General features: G+C 39.3%; 1 long non-coding RNA gene across 1 annotated transcript, besides 1 other annotated feature; it reads right to left on the bottom strand.

Annotated features, from left to right (window-relative positions):
• Positions 1-10,180: 10,180 nt before the first annotated feature.
• On the bottom strand, positions 10,181-20,947 carry LOC102723373 (uncharacterized). The gene is made up of 3 exons (NR_119378.1): positions 20,563-20,947; positions 15,836-15,948; positions 10,181-10,266 (listed from the first exon to the last, which is right to left on the bottom strand). It is a non-coding gene; the product is annotated as an uncharacterized LOC102723373 (long non-coding RNA).
• Positions 15,265-16,464: an enhancer, noted in NCBI's record as "MED14-independent group 3 enhancer chr16:53411888-53413087 (GRCh37/hg19 assembly coordinates)". NCBI's record gives its function as "activates an origin of replication core promoter dependent on BRD2, BRD4, P300/CBP and CDK7 cofactors, and independent of MED14, by STARR-seq in HCT116 cells {active_cell/tissue: HCT116}" and the evidence as "EXISTENCE:reporter gene assay evidence [ECO:0000049][PMID:35650434]".
• Positions 20,948-22,391: the final 1,444 nt, after the last annotated feature.

Here is a 22,391-nt window from a genome sequence, read left to right as displayed (position 1 = left end):
TATCTCAAATCCTCACCTGAATTCCCATAGCTCTATGAGACCCAATCCCTCTCTATCTCTTGGATCTCAATTCTTTTTTTTTTTTTTTGAGACAGAGTCTCGCTCTGTCGCCCAGGCTGGAGTGCAGTGGTGCGATCTCCACTCACTGCAAGCTCCGCCTCCCAGGTTCACGCCATTCTCCTGCCTCAGCCCCCACCCCGCAGTAGCTGGGACTACAGGCGCCCGCCACCACGCCCAGCTAATTTTTTTTTGTATTTTTAGTAGAGACGGGGTTTCACCGTGTTAGCCAGATGGTCTCGATCTCCTGACCTCATGATCTGCCTGTCTCAGCCTCCCAAAGTGCTGGGATTACAGGCGTGAGTCACCGCGCCTGGCCGGATCTCACTTCTTAGCACTCTAGTACCACCCTCACCAAGCTTACTCTTGCCTTAGCATCTGAAATACTCTTATACCAGGTTTTTGAAAGGCCGGGTCCCTTCTGTCATTCATGTTTCACCTTAAATGATACCATCTGAGAAAGCCCCCCCTTACCACCCAGTCTTAAGTAGTCACTCACTGTAGTTACTTTCTCACAATATCCCATTTTGTTTTCACTAAGGCAGTCATCATTACCTAAAGTTCTATTTATTGTTTGTCTCCTCCATATTTTTGCACCCCTTTACCCCAGATCAAATGTAAGCTCTTTGAAAGAAAGCACTTTTTAGGTCTTCTTCACTGTTATATCTCCAGATGCAAGACTCACTACACATTTATTGAATGAATTAATGGAAATACAGCACTTGATAAAGATGGGATCTCAAATCAGGAAGAAAAAAATAGATTCGACCAATAATTGAGACAAGTTGTGAAGTATGCAATAAGAAAAATCTGAAGAATGTTAGGGGAACTTTTCCTAGACTGACCCTTATCAGCTCAATCCAAATTCCCATCGTCCACATAGAACCTGGGATTTCTCCTGTGCAATAGTGGCAAATCTGCATCCTAAACCCATCCGTTACTTGTTTCACTTACTTGGCAAGGTCTTCTCCATAGTAATGAAGCAACCAGTAGCAGGTGCTTCCTTATCTGTGACACAGTCTATATGATTCTGACCAATAGCAGACTTCTGTCTTTACAAGCACACATGTGTATGTATGTTGTTTAAATTACAAAATTAAAGCTTGGAATTTAAATCAACCACATTGAACAACAGATCCCTGTTGAATAAATAAACTAAATATACAAACCAATGCACAAGATATAGTCACCACCAAATACAATACCACTTCAACTGAGTTAGCAGTTAGCTAGAGCCTAGGACAAATTCTTGGAAAGACAGAAGCTTCATTTTTAACAATACATAACAGTGCTTAGCATCAGCAAAGCCCCAGATGAGTAGAAGACTCAACTTGGTATCATTAACACAAATAAGTAGTGTTTCATTATTGTATTAGAAAAAAATGGTCTATCATAATAAAATCGCTTTCTTCTGAAAAAAACAAGGCCATTACTTTTCAAAGTTTAGAAATCCTCATGGTGCTAAGTGGCCTATACAACTTAGGTGGAGGGAAGGAATAATTCAGAAGATAGGGCTGGGTTTTTAGTCCTCTGGAGGGTAGAAAATTAGGGATAATGTGACTTCACACATAAACCTTATGATAAGCAAAACATATCCCAGATTCTGTACTCAATGGCTTAATACTGGCTATCATTGGAACTGCAGAGGGATGAAAGATTTTTTATAGCAGATTTGTATTTTTTTGAATTTCTATATGGTTTGAATGTTTTAATCAAGCATGTTTTATTTTTGTAATAATAATGAACTCAAAAAAAGCTAAAAGACAAAAGTAGTCAAAATATACAGGAATTGACTATTTGTATCAGTGCTTTTCAACAGAAATATAATGAGAGCCACAAGTGCTGTGATGCGCATATTTATTTTTAAGTTTTCCAGTAGCCACATTTAAAAAGGTAAGAGAATACAGGTAAAATTAAAGAATATATTTTATTCAACCCAATATATCCAAAATATTATCATTTAAACAGGGATTCAGCATAACAGGTATTGAGATATTTTACAGTCTTTCTTTTCTTACTAAGTCTACAAAATCTGGGGTATATTTTATACTCATAGCATGTCCCAGTGAGAACTGGCCATGTTTCAGTTGCCTTACGAGCCAAATGCATTAGTACTGTACAGTGCAGCTCTGTATCCTGAAAACATATTTTCACATTAATGAAAAAAATGGGCTAATGAGAAGATCAGACAGCTTATAAAATATAAAAAGTAAAGGGTCAGTAACTACATTGAAAAATGTAAAAATTCAGCAGTAATAAAAATATAATGAAAAACCATGAACTGCCACGTGTTCCAGGTCACATGCAGGTATAACTGAGGGATAGGTAAACAAACTAGTATTGCCCTTCTGAAAAAAAAACAACAACATGTTAACAAAAGCTTTAAGTGATTGTTATTCATAATCTTCGCTGCAAAAAAGTTCATTTTCTAAGAATTTTATACTAAGCTCTGACGGAACAAATGTGCAAGACATTTACAAGGATGTTTAAATCTGTATCATTTATAAAGGAAAGAAATTGGCAATAACCTAAATGTTCAATCCCAGGTACCTAATTTCATCAGTAATGGCAAATCCATAAAATTAAATGCCTATCAGTTATTTTATATGATGAGTAATGATTATTCTAGATAGTAGATAATAAATACAACATAACATATGCCCATGAGCTATCTCTCTCCAAGACATGAGATCACTGATTTCAAATTTTATTTTTTGCTTATTTGTATTTTCTAAAATTTCCACAATACATTTTTATTACACCCAAAGTCAATAATCAAAATGGCAAAGTATGTCAGAAAAACTGAAGATGAAGAAAACTGGAAAAAGCCTAGCCTATTTTTTAGAAGAAATCTAATGGTTGCCTCTGAATAAGTAATTTCAGTAGAAGGACAGTATTTAGAAACCAAAATGATGGTTGAGAAGCAAAAAGAAATTTAATCAGCAAGGAATTATGGAAAAATGCACATGGTAACAGTATATATCATACAGAGTGTTTCTTTCTGTTAGATTTTTAAATGAAAATATGCCCATTGTGGAAAGTTTAGAAGAAATGAAAGAGAATAAAGAAGGAAAGAAAAATGACTTGCAACTTCAACACCAGCAATCTCTACCCTCAACATCCTGGAGTGCTCCCTTTAGATCCTTTCCTGCATGGTGCCCAATAAATGTTTGCTGAACAAATGGGGGCAAAAGAACCAAAATACACAGGGATGTCAGTACACTGAAGTAGGAAGGAGGGACAGAAATAGCAAGTCTTAGGAAATGCCTGGGTATAAAATAAGGAGAAAAATTACACTTAATAGCATATCATAATAACTGCATTTAAAGGTGGGAGGAGAGTCAACATGTAATAAGTGTTATTTGATTTAAGTATTTCTATTGCTAAATTTAAGTGTAGTTAAAATTTCATAGTTTACTTTCTTTACATAATGCACTATCCGCATCATTGAAAATTTCTGTGAATATGTTTCTAATAACATTATAATTTTTCAATGTGTAGATATTTCATAATTTGCATAAACAATGCCATGATATTGAAATCAGTTACTTACAATGCCAAGGGAACAGAACTGTTCATGACTCATTGTTGACCTCTATGATATCTACTAGACAGGGGTCCTGTCAGAAGAATGACTAAAAGGGTATTATTAAAACTCTTGATACATGTGGCTAAACTCCTTTCTAGGAAGTTTTAACCAAATCTTGCTCTGAAGCAGTGAGATCTGACAATGTACAGTACGTGAATTTCTATTTATTGGGTGAAAGAGTCATGAAAAGCTAAATGACTAAAGAAAGGAGGCTGTGAAAGACAAAGCTGAGAATGCTGGAGTGAGAAGGAGTCATCATGCTTGCAAGCCACAGTAAAGAGACGAGTGGGAAGAGATGAGTGAGAAAAGAAGGGAAGGAAGTTTGAAAACAAAAGGAAATGTGAACTTAGTTAAGGAAGAACACATCTTCCTCTCAGAAATATGAAGGAGAAACTAATAGGATAGAAAGATAAAGAATAAGTGAAAATAGATATGACTATGAGATGAATTCCTCAGACAACACTGTAAGAAATGTCTTCTTCATTGACCAATTCCAAGAACATCATGCTTCTATTTCTCAGCTGGACAAGTGGCTGTTAGGGGTGCCCAGCCCATCATCCACAACTCTTCTAGCTCCAGCTGGGAGATAACACTGGCTTTGAAGGGATGACAGCCCACCCATGGGGAAAGAAAGATATAACAAATATCTGAAAATTCAGCCCTAACCCCTTAAAGTTTGGCTCACTGAATGATGGCTACTGTGAGGTTTAAGGGAGGAGTAGTATAGAAAGCTCCTAACATCAACTCTTTAAAAATAAAGGCAATTTACCTGGGGAAAATGTATTAGGAACATCTTGTGTCTTGGGGGCCAACTAGATTTTATAACCTTTGGTTTTGAGGACCATATAAGCCCAGCAGAGTAAAATGCTATGAAGACTCATGGCTGTTAATAACTGAGGACGCAAAGACCCTCAAATAGGAAGATTTTCAGTAACAAAAGAAAACGGCTCTTACGCACATAGATTAGATTCCTACAGTTCTCCAGTGTCACTTCTCTGTACAGATTCCTCTGTGGAGGGCTCAGTTATCTCCACTCCCCCTCAGTAAAGTCTACAACAACATTCTTGAATGTCACTGGCTCCTAAAATATAAGCATATTCACCCCCTTTTAGCTATCCAGAAAATGTTCCTGACATAATGTGTAAAGCTGATAGTCACAGGAAAGGTGGAGGAGATGTACAGAAAGTTTTTTTGTTTTGTTTTGTTTTGTTTTGTTTTGTTTTGTTTTGTTTTGTTTTGTTTTTGAGATGGAGTTTCACTCTCGTTGCCTAGGCTGGTGTGCAGTGGCGCAATCTCGGCTCACTGCCACCTCCACCTCCTGGGTTCAAGTGATTCTCCTGCCTCAGCCTCCTGAGTAGCTGGGATTACAGGTGCCCACCACCACACCCAGCTAACTTTTTTGTATTTTTAGTAGAGACAACTTTTCACCATGTTGGCCAGTATGGTCTTGAACTCCTAACCTCAGGTGATCCACCTGCCTCGGCCTCCCAAAGTGCTGGAATTACAGGCACCGGCCACCATGCCCCCCCTTTTTTTTTTTCTGGAGACAGAGTCTTGCTCTGTCACGCAGGCTAGAGTGCAGTGGCACGATCTCAGTTCACTGCAGCCTCCGCCGCCCAGGTTCAAGTGGTTCTTGTGCCTCAGCCTCCCAAGTAGATGGGATTACAGGCACATGCCACCAGGCCTGGCTAATTTTTTTGTATTTTTAGTAGAGATGGGGTTTCACCATGTTACCCAGGCTGGTCTTGAACTCCTGAGCTCAGGCAATCCACTAGGAGTCCATGCCTGGCCCAGGAAGAATTTTTGATAGTGCTCAGACTCTGTGGTTACCTGAAGAAGAAGCCATCAAGAGGAAATCCCAACTCTGTATAATTTCACTCATTTCATCCATATGTCTTTCCCTTCCTGTCTCAAAGGAAAAGTTGCCCTTCCATGTATCCTCTTATTGTATGTTCTAGATGTTCCCTGATACTCTCCAGGCATTCACTCTCACAAATTATCCCCATTTTTGTCAATCTTCAAACTATTCCTCTTTGGAAACCCTTTGGCTTATAAACAAGAATGTTCAAATGAATCTCTTCCTAAATGATTTATTTATCTCTGATAGAAAAAAATAAGAATGCTTTGAAAATCAGTTTAGGAATTACAGTAACAATATTGATGGGCCATCATTTAATAGGCACTGTTAAAAGATGGGGAGATGCAGGTAGAGTAGGCAGCTTGAGAGGAAAAATCAAGGAAATACACCATCAAGAGCAGAAGCCCTTATACACTACTCTTCTGCAGACACTGGGAGGGGCTGCCAGGGGCTTGCCAATTTTTGAGGCAATATGTAGAGTTGGGAGAATGAGACCCCAGGAGTATTTATTCAAAGTTGAGAGGGGAAAGAACAGTCTTCAGGCCTACAACAAAGAGCTAAAGGTTTTCTTAGACAGGTTCTCCCATCCCCTACCCCAAGGCCTCTGCTATTAAAAAGGAACAGAGAATGCAACATCAAATGCATTAGATGCAGCTTAGAAGACAGATGTCACAAATATTTTTGGAGGAGTGTCTACAAGAACCCATCTGTACTAATCACAGCCAATTAGAGGTCTGGCTAAAACCAGCCACGTTAGGATCAATAATATTTTTTAAAAAGGATCCTGTCATTATCATTATGCACAGAAATAACACCAATACAGGAGAGAAAGAACATGGTATGAAAAACATCCAAGGAAGAACACATTCTGGGAAAACTAAGATCCAAGGAATACAAGAAATCTTCTAAAAATGCTTGTGCTATAGAGTAATTCAATAAGGACATGAATTTAATGAAATACACACCACCCAACATGATTTTTTTAAAAAGAGAGATGAAAAGCTATGAATTACTCTGAGAACAAAAATGTATTATGGAGCTAATAAATTTAGTAGGGATTCTCAAACGTGCAAAGACAAAGAGAAGAACATTTTTCTTCTCATTATTCAAGATACAGGTTGAGAGGAGAACATTTTAACTACTTGATACTTAAATCCACCCCCCTACCCAAGAAAAAAGGGAGGATCACAATGAAGAACTAGGGAATAAAATTACTACAGAATGAATGGTAATGAGGGCTGTTTTTTTACCCCAATCTTTATACATTTTATTTTTCTTTCTTGGCTTACTACATTGTTGTTAAGACCAGACATATTTTTTTCTTTTTTGTCCTTGTAAGAGGGTGGTTGGAACCATTTAATTGATCAATGTAGAACACATGGTATAATGAGAATTTAAATGTTAAATTGAGAAAAACAGTTACAGGAATAAATATGGGTCCGGAACAAAAATTTAAATAAGTAAATCTTGACAAAGTAAAAATAATTTTACAACAATTTAAAAAACAGTCCATAGAGGACAAAAGAGAGGGAGAAGAAATGTAAGCAAGGTTGAATGTCTAATCATGTGGACACAAACATACTGAGTCTCTCATAACTGTCTTACCTTCTTTCTTTCACTCATAGAGAAATATTACAAAACAAGGATTTCCTCTTGTTCAATATAGTTCTCTTGAAGAACAGCAATTTCTTTAGTTCTCTAGTTACTTTTTCTTTTTAAATTTGAGTAACATTAATTTTTTTGTTATTAAACCTATTTATTACTAAACAATGCCAGTTTTCTTTCTGTCTCTTCATCCATTCATCTTTTCATCTCTCTTTTCGCCTTACTACAATGCCCAACACTTATCTCCATAAATATTCATGAAGAGAGACAGCCAGGTGTTCACAGTTAACACTGAAAGGGAAATGCATGCACTTTCTGCTTTGTCAAACTACTATGTACTGCTGATTGCTAAGTAAAATAAAATACTTTAAAAAATAAAAACAATGGACTTCCACTTCCAGACAAAATGGAGTAAACACCTTTCTCTGCTTCTCCTATTAAGTGTAGATAACAATGCTGGAAGTTATATTTAAAACAAACATAAGATGAATATGAAAGGTAGAGAAAAGCAGGCTGGCTAAGGCCCCTGGGACTTGGGTGGTTTTGTCATCTCATGTATTCTATAGTTGGAGCTGAAGAAGAATCAACCTGGAAATGGTAATGGAAATAGAGGAAAAAAAAAAAAGCCCCACTAAAGGATCAGCCTAACAAGCCAGAAAACTTTTAGACAGTAACCACCCAACTCTAGGAAAACACCACAGGAAAAAAATGTGGCTCCATCCCCACCACCTTCAGCTAAGGAGGGGGCAGGGAGGCAGACTTCCATGCTCACCCCACCACCCAGGGCTCTCTAAAAAGAGATTTTTAAAGCACATCCCATGAAAAGGCCCCAGTGAGCAATTACATAAATGCTTGAATCAAAAGAAAAGGTAGAAAAATAGAAGTAAAATAGAAGACACACAGAAAAATCAAATAAAAATTTTAAGAATAAAAACATGAGGCCGGGCACAGTGGCTCATGCCTGTAATCCCAGTACTTTCAGAGGCCGAGGCGGGGGGATCACAAGTTCAGGAGATCGAGACCATTCTGGCTAATACAGTGAAACCCTGTCTCTACTAAAAATACAAAAAAATTAGCCGGGCGTGGTGGCCAGTGCCTGTAGTCCTGGCTGCTCAGGAGGCTGAGGCAGGAGAATGGTGTGAACCCGGGAGGCAGAGCTTGCAGTGAGCCGAGACCGCGCCACTGCATTCCAGCCTGGGTGACAGTGCGAGACTCTGTCTAAAAAAAAAAAAAAAAGAAAAGAAAAGAATAAAAACATGGAATAATTGCGCCTGTAATCCCAGCAATTTGAGAGGCCAAGGTGGGCAGATCACCTGAGGTCAGGAGTTTGAGACCAGCCTAGCCAACATAATGAAGCCTTGTCTCTACTAAAAATATAAAAATTAGCCAGGTGTGGTGGTAGGCACCTACAATCCCAGCTACTCAGGAGGCTGAGGCAGGAGAATCACTTGAGCCTGGGAGGTGGAGGCTGCAGTGAGCAGAGATCATGCCACTGCACTCCAGCCTGGGTGACAGAGTCAGATTCCATCTCAAATAAAATTTCAAACAAAATGAAAGAATTGAAATAAATAGCTCAGTAGACAGGCTCTACAACAGAGTGGAAAGGAGAGAGGAGAGAACCAGTGAACCTGGAAAGAGAAACTACCCTGACCAACAGAGAGAAGGGAGACAAAAACAGAAGAGAAAGGTCCACAGGGACTTTTGGAATTATGTCCTGTGACATTAAAAAAACTGAAATCATACAGAATATGCTTTCTAACCAAAATAGAATCAAATTAGAAATCAACAGGAAAAAGGTAACAGGAAAATTTCCAAACACTTAGAAACTAAACAACTCCCTTCTAAATAATCCATGGGTCAAAGAAGAAGTCTCATCTCATGGGAAATAGAAACAAACAAACAAAGAATAACAAAAGTATCTACCCAGAATCAAATGAAAATACAGCATATAAAAATGTGTGGTATACCAATACCCAAGAGCTGTGAGGGAAATTTATAGCACTAAATGCTTATATTAGAAAACATGTTGGATCAATACTTGAAGCTTTCGCATACAGAAAATAAAACAAAAAGAAAAACAAAACCAAAGTATTGGGGGAACCAGCCCCCAATATTTCAATGTAGGTTCTTTTCTATTTTCCCTAAGTGTCGGCCAGTCTGAGAAATAAAGAGAAAGAGTACAAAGAGAGAAATTCTACATCTGGGCCTCCAGGGGTGACATCACATGTCGGCAGGTTCCGTGATGCCCCTTGAGCCGCAAAACCAACAAGTTTTTATTAGGGATTTGAAAAGGGGAAGGGGGTATGAACAGGGAGTAAATCACACAGATCACATGCTTCAAGAGGCAATAAAAGATTACAAGCGCAGAAGGGCAGAGCGAGATCACAGGGCCAGGGTGAAATTAGAATTACTGATGAGGTTCCATGTCCCACTGGGCACGCATTGTCTTGATAAACATCTTAGCAGGAAATAGGGTTCGAGAGCAGACAACTGGTCTGATTAGAATTCGCCAGGCTGGAATTTCCTAATCCTAGCAAGCCTGAGGGCGCTGCAGGAGACCAGGGTGTATTTCATCCCTTATCTTCAACCACATAAGACAGACACTCCCAGAGCAGCCATTTTAGAGACCTCCCCCTGGGAATGCTTTCCTTTCCCAGGGCTATTCCTTGCTGAGAAAAGAATTCGCAATATTTCTCCTATTCGCTTTCTGTAAGAAGAGAAATACGACTCTGTTCTGCCCGGTCCTGCAGGCAGTCAGACCTTATGGTTATCTCCCTTGTTCTCTGAAAATCACTGTTATCCTGTTCCTTTCAAGGTGCCCAGATTTCATATTGTTCAAACACACACGCTTTACAAACAACTTGTGCAGATAATGCAATCATCACAGGGTCCTGAGGCGACATACATCCTCAGTTTAGGAAGATGATGGGATTAAGAGATTAAAGACAGGCATAGGAAATTATAAGAGTATTGATTGGGGAAGTGATAAATGTCCATGAAATCTTCACAATTTATGTTCAGAGATTGCAGTAAAGACAGGCATAAGAAATTATAAAAGTATTAATTTGGGGAACTAATAAATGTCCATGAAATCTTCACAATTTATGTTCTTCTGCTGTGACTTCAGCTGGTCCCTCTGTTCAGGGTCCCTGACTTCCTGCAACACCAAAGCAAGCAAAAAATAATACAAATGAGATCATGAAATTGAAAACAGAAAAATAGAGAAAAATGAAACAAAAAGCATTTTTTAAAAGACCAGTAAAACTGATTAACCTCTAATATGACTAATAGAAATAATAAGAGAGAAGACACAAATCACCAACATTAGGAATGCACCAGGGGATATAATCCCAGATCCTGAAGATATAAAAATTATATTAAGGAAATATTACAAATAATTCTCCAGATATAATAAACCTGACAAGTAAGATGAAATGGCTAATTTCAAAAAAACACAAATAACCACAACATCTATTATTAGGAAATAAACAACTTAAATAGCACTACTCAAATAATTATTAAGAAAATCAAGGCCAGGCGCAGTGGCTCATGCCTGTAATCCCAGCACTTTGAGAGGCTGAGGTGAGAGGGTTGTTTGAGCCCAGGAGTTTGAGGCTGCCATGAGCTATAATCACACCATTGCACTGCAGCCTAGGCCACAGAGCAAGACCCTGTTTCTAAAAAACACACCAGGCCAGGTGCGGTGGCTCACGCCTGTAATCCCAGCACTTTAGGAGGCCGAGGCAGGTGGATCACTTGAGGTCAGGAGTTCTTGACCCACCTGGCCAATATGGGGAAATCCCATCTCTATGAAAAATACAAAAATTAGCTGGGCGTGGTGACACATGCCTGTAGTCCCAGCTACTGGGGAGGCTGAGGCAGGAGAATCACTTGAACCTGGGAGGCAGAGGTTGCAGTGAGCTGAGATCGTGCCACTGCACTCCAGCCTGGGTGACAGAGTGAGACTCCATCTCAAAAAAATAAAAAATAAAATAAAAAAGCAGATCAAATTCTTAATTCAAAAAGTCCCAAAAGGAAATCTCCAGTCACAGACATATTTACTGCCAAACCCTACCAAATGCTTAAAGAACTAATGCCAATTCTACACAATGCCTTCCTGGAAATAGAAAAGGAGACTGCTTCCCATGTATTTAATGAGGCCAGCAACCTTAATACCAAAATTAAGTGAAGACCAGAAAAAAAAAACAAAAAACCCCCACAAAGCTACAGACCAATATCTCTCTATATTTAGATGCAAAATCTCTTAGCAAAATGCAAGCAAATATATATTGTTCAACACTGTATAAAAGAATCGAATGGCATGACCAAGGGGGATCCCTTCCATAGATTCAAAGCTGGTTCAATATTTTAAAAATCAATGTAATTAACTATACAAACATGTCAAAAAAGAAAAATCACATGATCATACTCATTGACGTAGAGAAAGCATTCAATAAAACTCAATACTTATTCATGATAAAAACACTCAGAAAATTATCAACAGTGTAGAACTTCCACAACTTGATAAAGAACATCTACTCCAAACCTACAGGTAACATAATATTTAAAGAAAGAATGTATGCCTTTCCCCTAAGGTAAGGAAAACACAAGGATGTCCACCTTTCACCACTATTATTCAATATGGTACTGGAATTTCTAGCAAGCATGGTAAGTCGAGAAAAAACATATAGATTATAAAGGAAGATGTAAAACTGTCCCTATTTGGAAATAATATAAGGAACTATGGGGAAAATCCCAAAGGATCTTCAAAATAATTCCTTCAACTAATAAGTGATTTCACCAATACGAGCATACAAGATCAACATGGAAATAAACTCAGATTCGAGAAATCAATTAGAGGCATATATGAATTGAGAAATACAACATAAGGCCGGGCGTGGTGGCTCATGCCTGTAATCCCAGAACTTTGGGAAGCCAAGGCAGGCAGATCACGAGGTCAGGAGATGGAGACCATCCTGGCTAACACTGTGAAACCCCATCTCTAATAAAAATACAAAAAGTAAGCCAGGCGTGGTGGTGGGCACCTGTAGTCCCAGCTACATGGGAGGCTGAGGCCGGAGAATGGCGTGAACCCAGGAGGTGGAGTTTGCAGTGAGCCGAGATCAAGCCACTGCACTCTAGCCTGGGCAACAGAGCAAGACTCCATCTCAAAAAAAAAAAAAAAAAAAGAGAGAAGAAAAGAAAAGAAAAATATAACATAAAGCAATTCCTTTTTGCAAGTGATGTGACAGCATATCTAGAAGCCCTAACAATCAAAAGATAAAACTAGCTCAAACAATAAATTCAGTAAGGTAAAATGATATAGAGTTAACCAACAAAAATCAAGAGTCTTCAAACATATAATTAATAAGTTAGAAAAAATAACACTACAAAAAAATCCCATTACAGTAGCAAAAAATAATTTAGGAAAAATGTTAATTAGAAATGCACAAAAACTATATGATGAAAACTTAAACACACTTCTGAAAGGTACAGAAGCAGAAAGGCACACATTGAATAATATGAAAATACATATGGACAACATGCAATGTGTTTAGAATTTCAGAATATTGAAAATAACCTAAATGCTCTTCTATAGAATGGCTGAATAAGGTATGGTACATACTTGTTATGGGTAGACTGTGTCTTCCAAAAGGATGTTGAAGTCCTACACCCAGTACCTGTAAATGTGACCTTGTTTGGAAACAAGGTCTTTGCAGATGGTTAAGTTAAGATGAAGTGATCAGGGAGAGCCCTAATCCAGTATGACTGGTATCTTTATAAGAAAGGGAAAACTGGGCACACAGACAGCCATGCACACAGAAAAAAATGTCACGTGAAGATAAAGGCAAAGACTGGAGTGATGTGTCTACAACCCAAAGAATGGTACTGTCAGCAAACTACCATAAGCTAGGACAGAGGCACAGAACACATTCTCTCTCAGAAGGACCTCAGAAGGAACCAACCCTGCTAACACCCTGGTCTCAGACTTCTAGCTCCAGAATTATGAGAGAATAAATTTCTGCTAAGCAACCCGGTTTGTGGTACTTAATTATGGCAGCCCTAGCAAACTAATATCATAATCAGTGCATACTATGATACTATAAAAATGAATAAGCAAAGAAAATTTCATGGAATTGATATGCAGTGATTTCTAGGATATGGTTAGGTGAAATAAGTAAAATGCCAAAAAAAAAAAATACAGTATGTTACCTGTTGTATGAAACAAAGAAGCAATAACAAAATTTACATGTATTAGCTAATTTTTGCAAGGAAAAATAAAAAAATGAAACTGAATCTAATGAAACTAATTACCTATAGGAGCAGATTGGATGTTGAAGAAATGGAAGGAGAAAGGGGGAATGATAATTCCATATGAATTATTTTTGAATAATTCTGAATTGTGGATTCTTATTAAGGTCACATATAATTTTAAAAAATCATGAAAAACGGAGGGAAATTTCTAAATAGAATTGTATTAGTTGGCCTGGGCTATTGCTGCTGTAACAGAACACCACAGCCTGGGTAGCTTAAATAACAGCTACCCAGTTGTGTCACAGTTCTGGAAGCTGGAAGTACCAGCTAGGGTGTTGGCAGGTTTGGTTTCTTCTAAGGGGTCTCTCCTTGGCTTGCAGATGGTCTTCCCTCTGTATGTGTCTTGTGTCCAAATTTCCTCTTATAAGGATACTAGTCAGACTGGATTAGGGCCCACCCTGTCATCTTCCTTTTAATTTACTTACCTCATTAAAAATCCTATCTCCAGATACAGTCACATTTTGAGGTACTAGCATTTAGGGCTTCAACATATGAATTTTGGGGGGATACAATCCAGCCCATAACCAGAATACGAACAAAACTATATTACAGGCCAGGTGCCGTGGCTCACACCTGTAATTCTACCACTTTGGGAGGCCTAGGCGGGTGGATCACCTGAGGTCAGGAGTTGAAGACCAGCCTGGCCAACATGGTGAAACTCTGTGTCTACTAAAAATACAAAAACTAGCCGAGCGAGGTAGCGGGCACCTGTAATCCCAGCTACCCAGGAGGCTGAGGCAGGAGAATCACTTGAACCTAGGAGCTGTAGGCTGCAGTGAGCTGAGATCACACCACTGCACTCCAGCCTGGTAACAGAGCGAGACTCTGTCTCCAACAACAACAACAACAACAACAACAACAACACTATATTTCAAATGAATTACATATACACAGCAAAGGAGAAGAAAATAACTTAGCCCAGTAACTTCTGAAATAGCATTTTGACCATAAACCTTCAATCTTAAGATGATAAGAATCTGCCGGGTGCAGTGGCTCACGCCTGTAACCCCAGCACTTTGGGAGGCTGAGGTGGGTGGATTACGAGGTCAGGAGATCGAGATGATCCTGGCTAACACGGTGAAACCACATCTCTACTAAAAATACAAAAAAAAAAAAAAAATTAGTCGGGCGTGGTGGCGGGCGCCTGTAGTCCCAGCTACTCAGGAGGCTGAGGCAGGAGAATGGCGTGAACCCGGGAGGCGGAGCTTGCAGTGAGCCGAGATCGCGCCACTGCACTCCAGCCTGGATGACCCAGCGAGACTCCGTCTCAAAAAAAAATGATAAGAATCATACACAAGTACTAAATTATAGTTAGTAGGTTTGCTTTCCATAGACCAGGCTTATGGGGGGGAAAAAAACTAGGATTCTACGATTGAGCAAATGAGTAAATATATTTAGGATAATGGGAGCCAGGTTCTTCATTTTGAAGAAAGGACTAACACATGCAACCAGGAAGGAGAGGAATGAACTCCATGGTACTAGACTAGTCTCAGTATGAATGAATGTTTTTTATAGACAGGCATACATATGTGTGTATACATATGTATGTGTGTATGCATGTTTGTACAGATTTGCCCCCTGGGAGAGTCTATAAGCAATGATACCCTAGTAACAATGTGTACACCTAGCATCCAGATTTGGTTTCAACAATTCCATTCACCATAAAAACGAATCAAAGCTCCTTGGAGAAATGGCGGATTCCAGGGCTGGGATAGGGAAAGAACAAAATAAGCCTAAAATATCTTGTTGTGCTAAAAAAAAAAAAAAAAAAAAAAGGAAACAATAAAAATAAGTGATAGGTATATGTCAAAAGGATACAGAAGCCAATTTGAATGGACTTCCATGGAAGAAATCTGGGTAATTTCCGCATTAAAATCAATAATAATAGTAACATGTCATAACCTATTGAATAAAATAAAGATCCATGAGTTCCTACTGATAAAAAAAAAATAATGAAGTAGAAGGAAAGTTCTTACTCATAGAAGAAACAATTAAAAATGTAGAAAGAATAGTATTTTAAAAGTCAACATTTTCCAGTCTTCATTGTAATAACCGGCTTATATAGGAATCATTATATAGGAATGATATAGGTAGTGGTTAACATTTTGATAAAAAGACATTTAAATATCCTCAAAACATTTTCCCACAAATTACATATTAATTACAACTTAACATCTTATGACCATGAGTACTTAATATCTCTAAATTTTCCCTAACCTTCAAAACAGAAATAATTAACCACTTTTTACAGTTCCCCTAAGACATAAATACAGGAATTGATGAAGTGTCTAGAAGTACCTAACAGTAGGTGCTTATCAAATGCTAATCCATTTTCCCTTTTCTAAAAAGGAGCACAAATCAGCTAACTAATTTAGATAGAATTTCAGAAGTTAAAAAAAAAATCAACTCACTTGTAATTGTGTCAAGGCCTACTCCTCCAGAGGAAGTGTAGAGAAGACAGAGCTGGCATAGAAGAAAGAAGCCACGAGTGACCAAGGCACCAGATCAACTTAGAGCAGCCAGCCTGGGTTTCAGGAATAAAGTGAACATTTTAATCCACTGGGCCCATTAGCCGCCCTGTTACCTAAGCCCTTGTTTTCCCCACTGACCTACCTTAAAAGGCATTTTGCACCTATTTTTGCATGTTTCCCTCCCCGAGTCTTCTGTAACTTTCACCTTTTGACTCAGGCTTTTAGGTTAAGCTGACCATGTTAAGACACGTTTTATGTCCATGTTAAGACATGTTAAGACATGTTTTAGACAAATACTCATGTGTATGGGCGAAAAACTCCAGGACTGTATTTTCAACTAATTGCAAAACAGGTTATTTTAGTTTCTATTCTGTGGAAAGTGTAAAACATTCCAACACAGGGTTTTAATGTAGATTTTTTTTTGCACCCACGCTGTTGGTTGCTAAATGTAATAGTCTGATCATGACCTTGAATAATACGTCTTTTTTTTTTTTTCAAATGTGCTATGTAAAGCTGGTTTACTCTGAAGCCATCTTGGTAAATTTCCCCAAGAGTGTGAAGTTAGAATTCCTCCAGGGTGATGCCAGATTCTATCTGGAATTTATTTACAACCTGCTTGGGTGGAGACACCATTGTCTTCAGAAACCTTGGTGTAGTTGAACTGATAGGTACTGTCGTGACCTGAAGTTCACCATTAAAAGGGATCACCCAAGCAAAATCGTGAAATTATTGGTTATAAAAATGGTCATTGGCACATCCTATGCGATATATCTAAATTAAATGATGGTATCAGATAAAACTGTAGATGGGAATGAAGTTTGTGTATCATACATTATCATGTGTAATTAATAAATGATTTAAATCTCCTGAAAAAAAAAATGGGACAGAGCAAGACTCTGTCTTAAAAAAAAAGGGGGGGGGACATTTTAACACCCTAAGATTCTAAAGAAAACCAACTAGAGGACATACACTGCTCATAAACCCTGAACAAATTTGCTACATAGCTGGAATTCGCTATCCTGGCAGAATAGGGTGCCACTGCACTGGGAATCTGGAAAACTCACAAGAAATCCACAAAAAAATGAAAAGAAGAAAACTCCATGTTTTAGAGGTTACTATAAAAAAAACAGATCCAATATACTTTGACTAATTCAAATCTCCCCAAATAAAATAACTATGAATCGGGATAAAATTCTAAGCTGACACTTCAAATAGAATAAAATTTATTCAAATAAGCATTTGTGGATATGAAAAGCCAATTGAGTCAGATATCTAAAAAATAAGAATAAAAATGGGCAAAAACATAAGGAAATGAAAATACAGTTAATTAAAGCCGGAAGAGAAATGAAGGAAAGAAAGACAAAGTCATCTCCTAAAGAAAAACAGAACCACAAAGTCACAAAAGAGAATAGACTCAAATGCAAATATAATGACTAGCTTTGAAGAAAGGTAGAAAAACAACCTGGAGAATGAAAATGACATAAGGAAAAAAGAGGTCACAGAAAAGTGGTAGAAATCAAAGTTAAGCAAAGGCACTATTCACAAAGTTGGAGCCCCAGGAAAAAAGTAATAAAACAATGGAATACACTATTAAGAGATAATATTTAAAAGTATGTTGCAAGAAATTTATGCTGAAATAAACTTGAGTCAACTGAGTATTTGGGAAAATTCTCCTGAAACAGTAAACTTTAAGTCATAAGCTAGTAAAATCATTAGCCTTTATAGATTTTTGAACCAAACAATATTGACAAGAATGCACATCAAAACTTGCTATGGCTAAAAACAAATATATCAACGTAATTATGCATGTACTAGGATAAAAAAAAGGTGAAGAGTAAGTTACAATTGTGTAGTTAAGGGCACATGAAGTAAAATGGGACATTTAAAGATAAACTCTTCCTGGTCTTCAAGAGAAAAGATCACACAAAACACCTTCTTTTTTTTTTTTTTTTTTTTTTTGAGACGGAGTCTTGTTCTGTTGCCCAGGCTGGAGTGCAGTGGCACGATGATGGCTCACTGCAACCTTGACCTCCCAGGTTCAAGTGATCCTCTCACCTCAGCCTCCTGAATAGCTGGAACTATAGGCATGCACCACCACGCCTGGCTAATTTTTGTATTTTTTTAGAGACGGGGTTTTGCCATGTTGCCCAGGCTGGTCTTGTCTTGAACTCCTGGCCTCAAGTGATCCTCCTGCCTTTGCCTCCCAAAGTGCTGGGACCACAGGCGTGAGCCACTGCACTTGGCCAGTGAAAATGTTTTTAAATAGATAAAGGTGATAGTCGCATGAACCCAGTGAATGTGATCATTGCTGTTAAAGTGTACATTTTTCACCAGGTGTGGTGGACCACGCCTGTAATCCCAGCACTTTGGGAGGCCGAGGAGGGCAGATCACGAGGTCAGGAGATCAAGACCATGGTGAAACCCCGTCTCTACTAAAAATACAAAAAAAAAAAATTAGCGGGGTGCGGTGGTGGTTGCTTGTAGTCCCAGCTACTTGGGAGGTTAAGGCAGGAGAATGGCGTGAACCCGGGAGGCAGAGCTTGCAGTGAGCCGAGAACGCGCCACTGCACTCCAGCCTGGGTGGACAGAGCGAGACTCCGTCTAAAAAAAAAAAAAAAAAAAATTGTACATTTTTAAAGGGTTAATTTTATTATGTAAATTTTACCTCAAAAAAAAAAAAAAGAAAAGAAAAAAGAAAAAAAGAAGAGATGATCCAACAATAAAAATCCAAAGGTGAAATTGTGTAGACCAAGCAAACTGGGTGGAGAACCCTGAATAAAGGGGTTAAAATGAAACAGAGCTTTATATTTGATAAAAATGTGTGCCTGAAAAGTTTGTTGCGAATTGAACTCTTGATTATTATATTTTCTAGCTTGAGGTATGAGGACTCATAGAAATTATGTATCTTTAAGGTATACAACGTATGCTTTAATATATGTATAAATTATGAAATGATTACTGACAATCAAGCTAACTTTTTAAAGATATTTTTACTTCAGGTTGGCCCTCAGTTGGTAGAAATTCACAACTCTTCAGTTTTAGGTCTCTCTGCCTCCCATTTCAGAATGGTGCAGCAGAATTGCATTATTTTGAATACTGTAATGTATAATTTGTGATTATTCCAATATTCCAATAAAGGTTGCTTTGCATGAATAAACTATAGTGTACAACCACGTGTGGACAAATGCACAAGATAATTAAGAACAGAAGTGTTAATAAAAGAGGAGTGTAGGCTGAACGCAGTTGCTTACGCCTGTAATCCCACCAACTTGGGAGGCCGAGGCAGGTGGATCACCTGAGGTCGGGAGTTCAAGACCAGCCTGACCAACATGGAGAAATCCCGTCTCTACTAAAAATACAAAATTAGCCAGGCTTGGTGGCGCATGCCTGTAATCCCAGCTACTTGGGAGGCTGAGGCAGAAGAATCGCTTGAACCAGGGATGCAGAGTTTGCAATGAGCCGCGATTGTGCCATTGCACTCTACCCTGCACAACAAAAGTGAAACTCATTCTCAAAAAAAAAAAGAGTAAATTCTGACACATGCTACAATATGGATGAACCTTGAGGGCATTATGCTAAGTGAAACAAGCCAAACACAGAAAAGAAAAACAGTATGTGATTCCACATTATATGAGGCACCTAGAATAGTCAGATTCACAGAGAAGGTAGAACAGTGGTTGCCAAGAGCTGGGTCAGAGGAGAATGGGCAGGTGTTGTGTAATGGGTACCGAGTTTTTAGTTTTGGTGAGATGAAAAAGCTCAGGAAAGGGGTGGTGGTGACTGTTGCACAACAAAGTGAGTGTAGTTAAAGCCACTGAATTATACACTAAAAAATGTTAAAATGCTAAATTTTACTTTACATATATTCAACCACACACACAAAAAAATGGAGCCATGAAGTTTCAAGTATCTTAATAGGACAAATCAAAATCAGTCTTTGGAATACACTATTTTCATTTTTCCTTTACTTTCTGCCAAGATGTGTAAGTTACAAAACAAAAATGCATCTTTATCTGTATTTAGTTCTTCCAGTAAGTATATGGTCTGTTGGAAGTCATACTCTTCCCAAACCGTCAATCATTAAAGGGTGCAGTTCTAAAAACACAGATATAAAAATACTTTTTCCTGAATATTCATTTTTTAATTTATATTTTCACCTTCCGATTTGGTGTATCACCTAAGAAGTGAGTATGTCTCATGGTTAAGAATGTGGGCTCTGGTGCTAGAAGGATTTATCACGAATGTCCCGGAGTAACTCTGGGGCTTTACCACTTGGCACTTAATCTCAGATTAAGGGAAACACTTGCCTCTCATAAAAGGAGAAAGAGAAAAAAAAAGATAAAAAGAAAGTGAGACTCAGAAAACGCGAGTTTCTGTCATAACTGATTTTATCTAGACAATTAAAAAAATGAAGGAAGAGAGAAATCAAGGAAGTTTCTAAATCCACATGCTTTATCTTTCCATTTATGCACGCGATGATAAACTTATTAAGGCACGTGGAAAAGTAACTCCTTCTGTATTCCTTACAACATTGACCTTTGAGTGTTCCCAACAGGATGCTGGTCATGCTTGCAGTTCAGCTGATTTTTTTTTTTTTAAACAAGACTTGCTCCCTTTTCTGGTTTCTCCCCAGCCTCTTTATGGGTGCGCGGTAAAATAACACTTACCTACCGGCTTCCATTTACTTCCTTCCATGCCCTGTCGGACCCGCTGGGCAAGATCCCCCGCCTCTCCGGCCCACATACTGGAAGGTGCAGTGCCCAGGGCGCACAGTTCCCGTGTGCAGAGGGACTCACGCACAAGAAGGCCATCCCCGCGCTAAGCTGAGGTGTTTCTGGAACGTATCCCTCTGCCTAGGTGCCGGCAGCGGCCGTGGAACGCGCCTCCGGGGACAGAGCGCATCATCAAGGTGCTTTGGCCACGTTGAGGCCTCCTTCTCCCCCTGGCCTCGTTTCCCACATGCCCTACCCACAGCGACCTTCCTGGAGCTCGGTATTCACCTAAGGTGTTGGCGGCGGCAGCCTTTAGCAGGCGCGCTATCTCCGCTGTGTCTCTCCGCACTAGCCGCTGACCGAGCCAGGTGCGCGGTGGAGGGCGGGGCGATCCGGCAGGGGGCGTGGCGAAGGCCGCTGATTTCCTACTGCATACAACACACCCACTTTACCTAAAGCAGAAATTAAAGCCAGGAGGCCTACCCCTTGTGGGCCCCTGAAAAGTACAATAAGAAGTTTGGAGACAGTTCAAAGGCGCTTGGGTCGACCAGTGGTAATTTTTGTTTCCCGCCCCCCTGCACCCGCGAAAGCGCTGGCGCTGCCATTGGCTCCAGCTGGGGGTGAGTCTGGAACCTGTGAGCCGTGGCACTTTGGACTCTGAGCTCCAAGCTAGGCGCATCCTTGCTGTGAGGTTTCCCAGCGGCTTTCTTGCCTTGCTTGCAGCTTGTGTCGGGAGTTGCGGACAGCCATAGCCCCGCGGGCCTGGCGCTGACGGACCCTGGAGCGGTGTCTGACAGAGGTCGGCAAAGCCACCGGCTGGCCCCAGTGCATCCTCACATATGCGCGCAGATCCCTGGCTCCGGTGCTACTGGGGTCGCACCTGGACGCGGGTTGCAGACCCCTGGCAAATTGTGGAGCTGGGGGAAGGTAAGGGGAAATGTAAATCGCTTTTCCCCACATTTCAGAGATTATACTTTCCTAGGCTATCACAATTTTCAAAATTGTTAAAATTTTTACAGTATGGCTCTCTCAGTTGAATGTTATTGAAATCCACCAAATAACCTCAGTTATTAACGCCTAGAAGCTCCCCTGGAGGCTTATTACTGCCGCCATACCCCTACACACAAACTGTTTTGGTTTCTCCTTCCGCCTATGTACTCCTAAAGCACTCAGTATTTACCTGTCATCATACTTTATTGAAAGTACAAACTCGTCACTTGTCTGTCCACCCCAACTAAGCTTCTTGAGAATTAGAACTTTCCTGTCTCTTCCCAGCACAAAAGTTTTATGGGTATTCTGTTGAAGAACTTCAAATATGATCTATAAAATTATGACTCATTTATATTTCAAACTCCAACCTCTCCCTTGAGTTCCTGGCTCACAGCGACTACAGACTGAGCTTAGTTGGAATTCAGTAGCACACAACTGGGATATCCGCACTGTACGGCTTTTAACAATTTTTAAAATTTTGGTACTCTCAGCATCGCAAATTCACTGTGTCCAAAATAGAGTAGAATGTTGTTCTACCCACCTATACTCTGCCATCCGCTGAAGTCCTTTCCCCATGCTCCAGCACTCAAGCCTTGCCTGTCACAGTAAATGGCAGTTCTGTCTTTCCTGTTGCTCACACATAAAACTAGGCTGCTATTTTGATGTCTTCATTTTTCTCTATTCTGTATCTAATTCCTTAGCAATCCTGTCAGTTCTACCTCCAGACTGTACTCAGCATATTCACTGCTCTAACTCCAGCTTAAATCACCATCATCCTTTGCCTGGAATGCTGC

This window comes from Homo sapiens, chromosome 16 (assembly GCF_000001405.40).
Source record: "Homo sapiens chromosome 16, GRCh38.p14 Primary Assembly".
NCBI lineage: Eukaryota > Metazoa > Chordata > Mammalia > Primates > Hominidae > Homo > Homo sapiens.
This window is presented reverse-complemented; position numbering and strand designations above follow the sequence as displayed.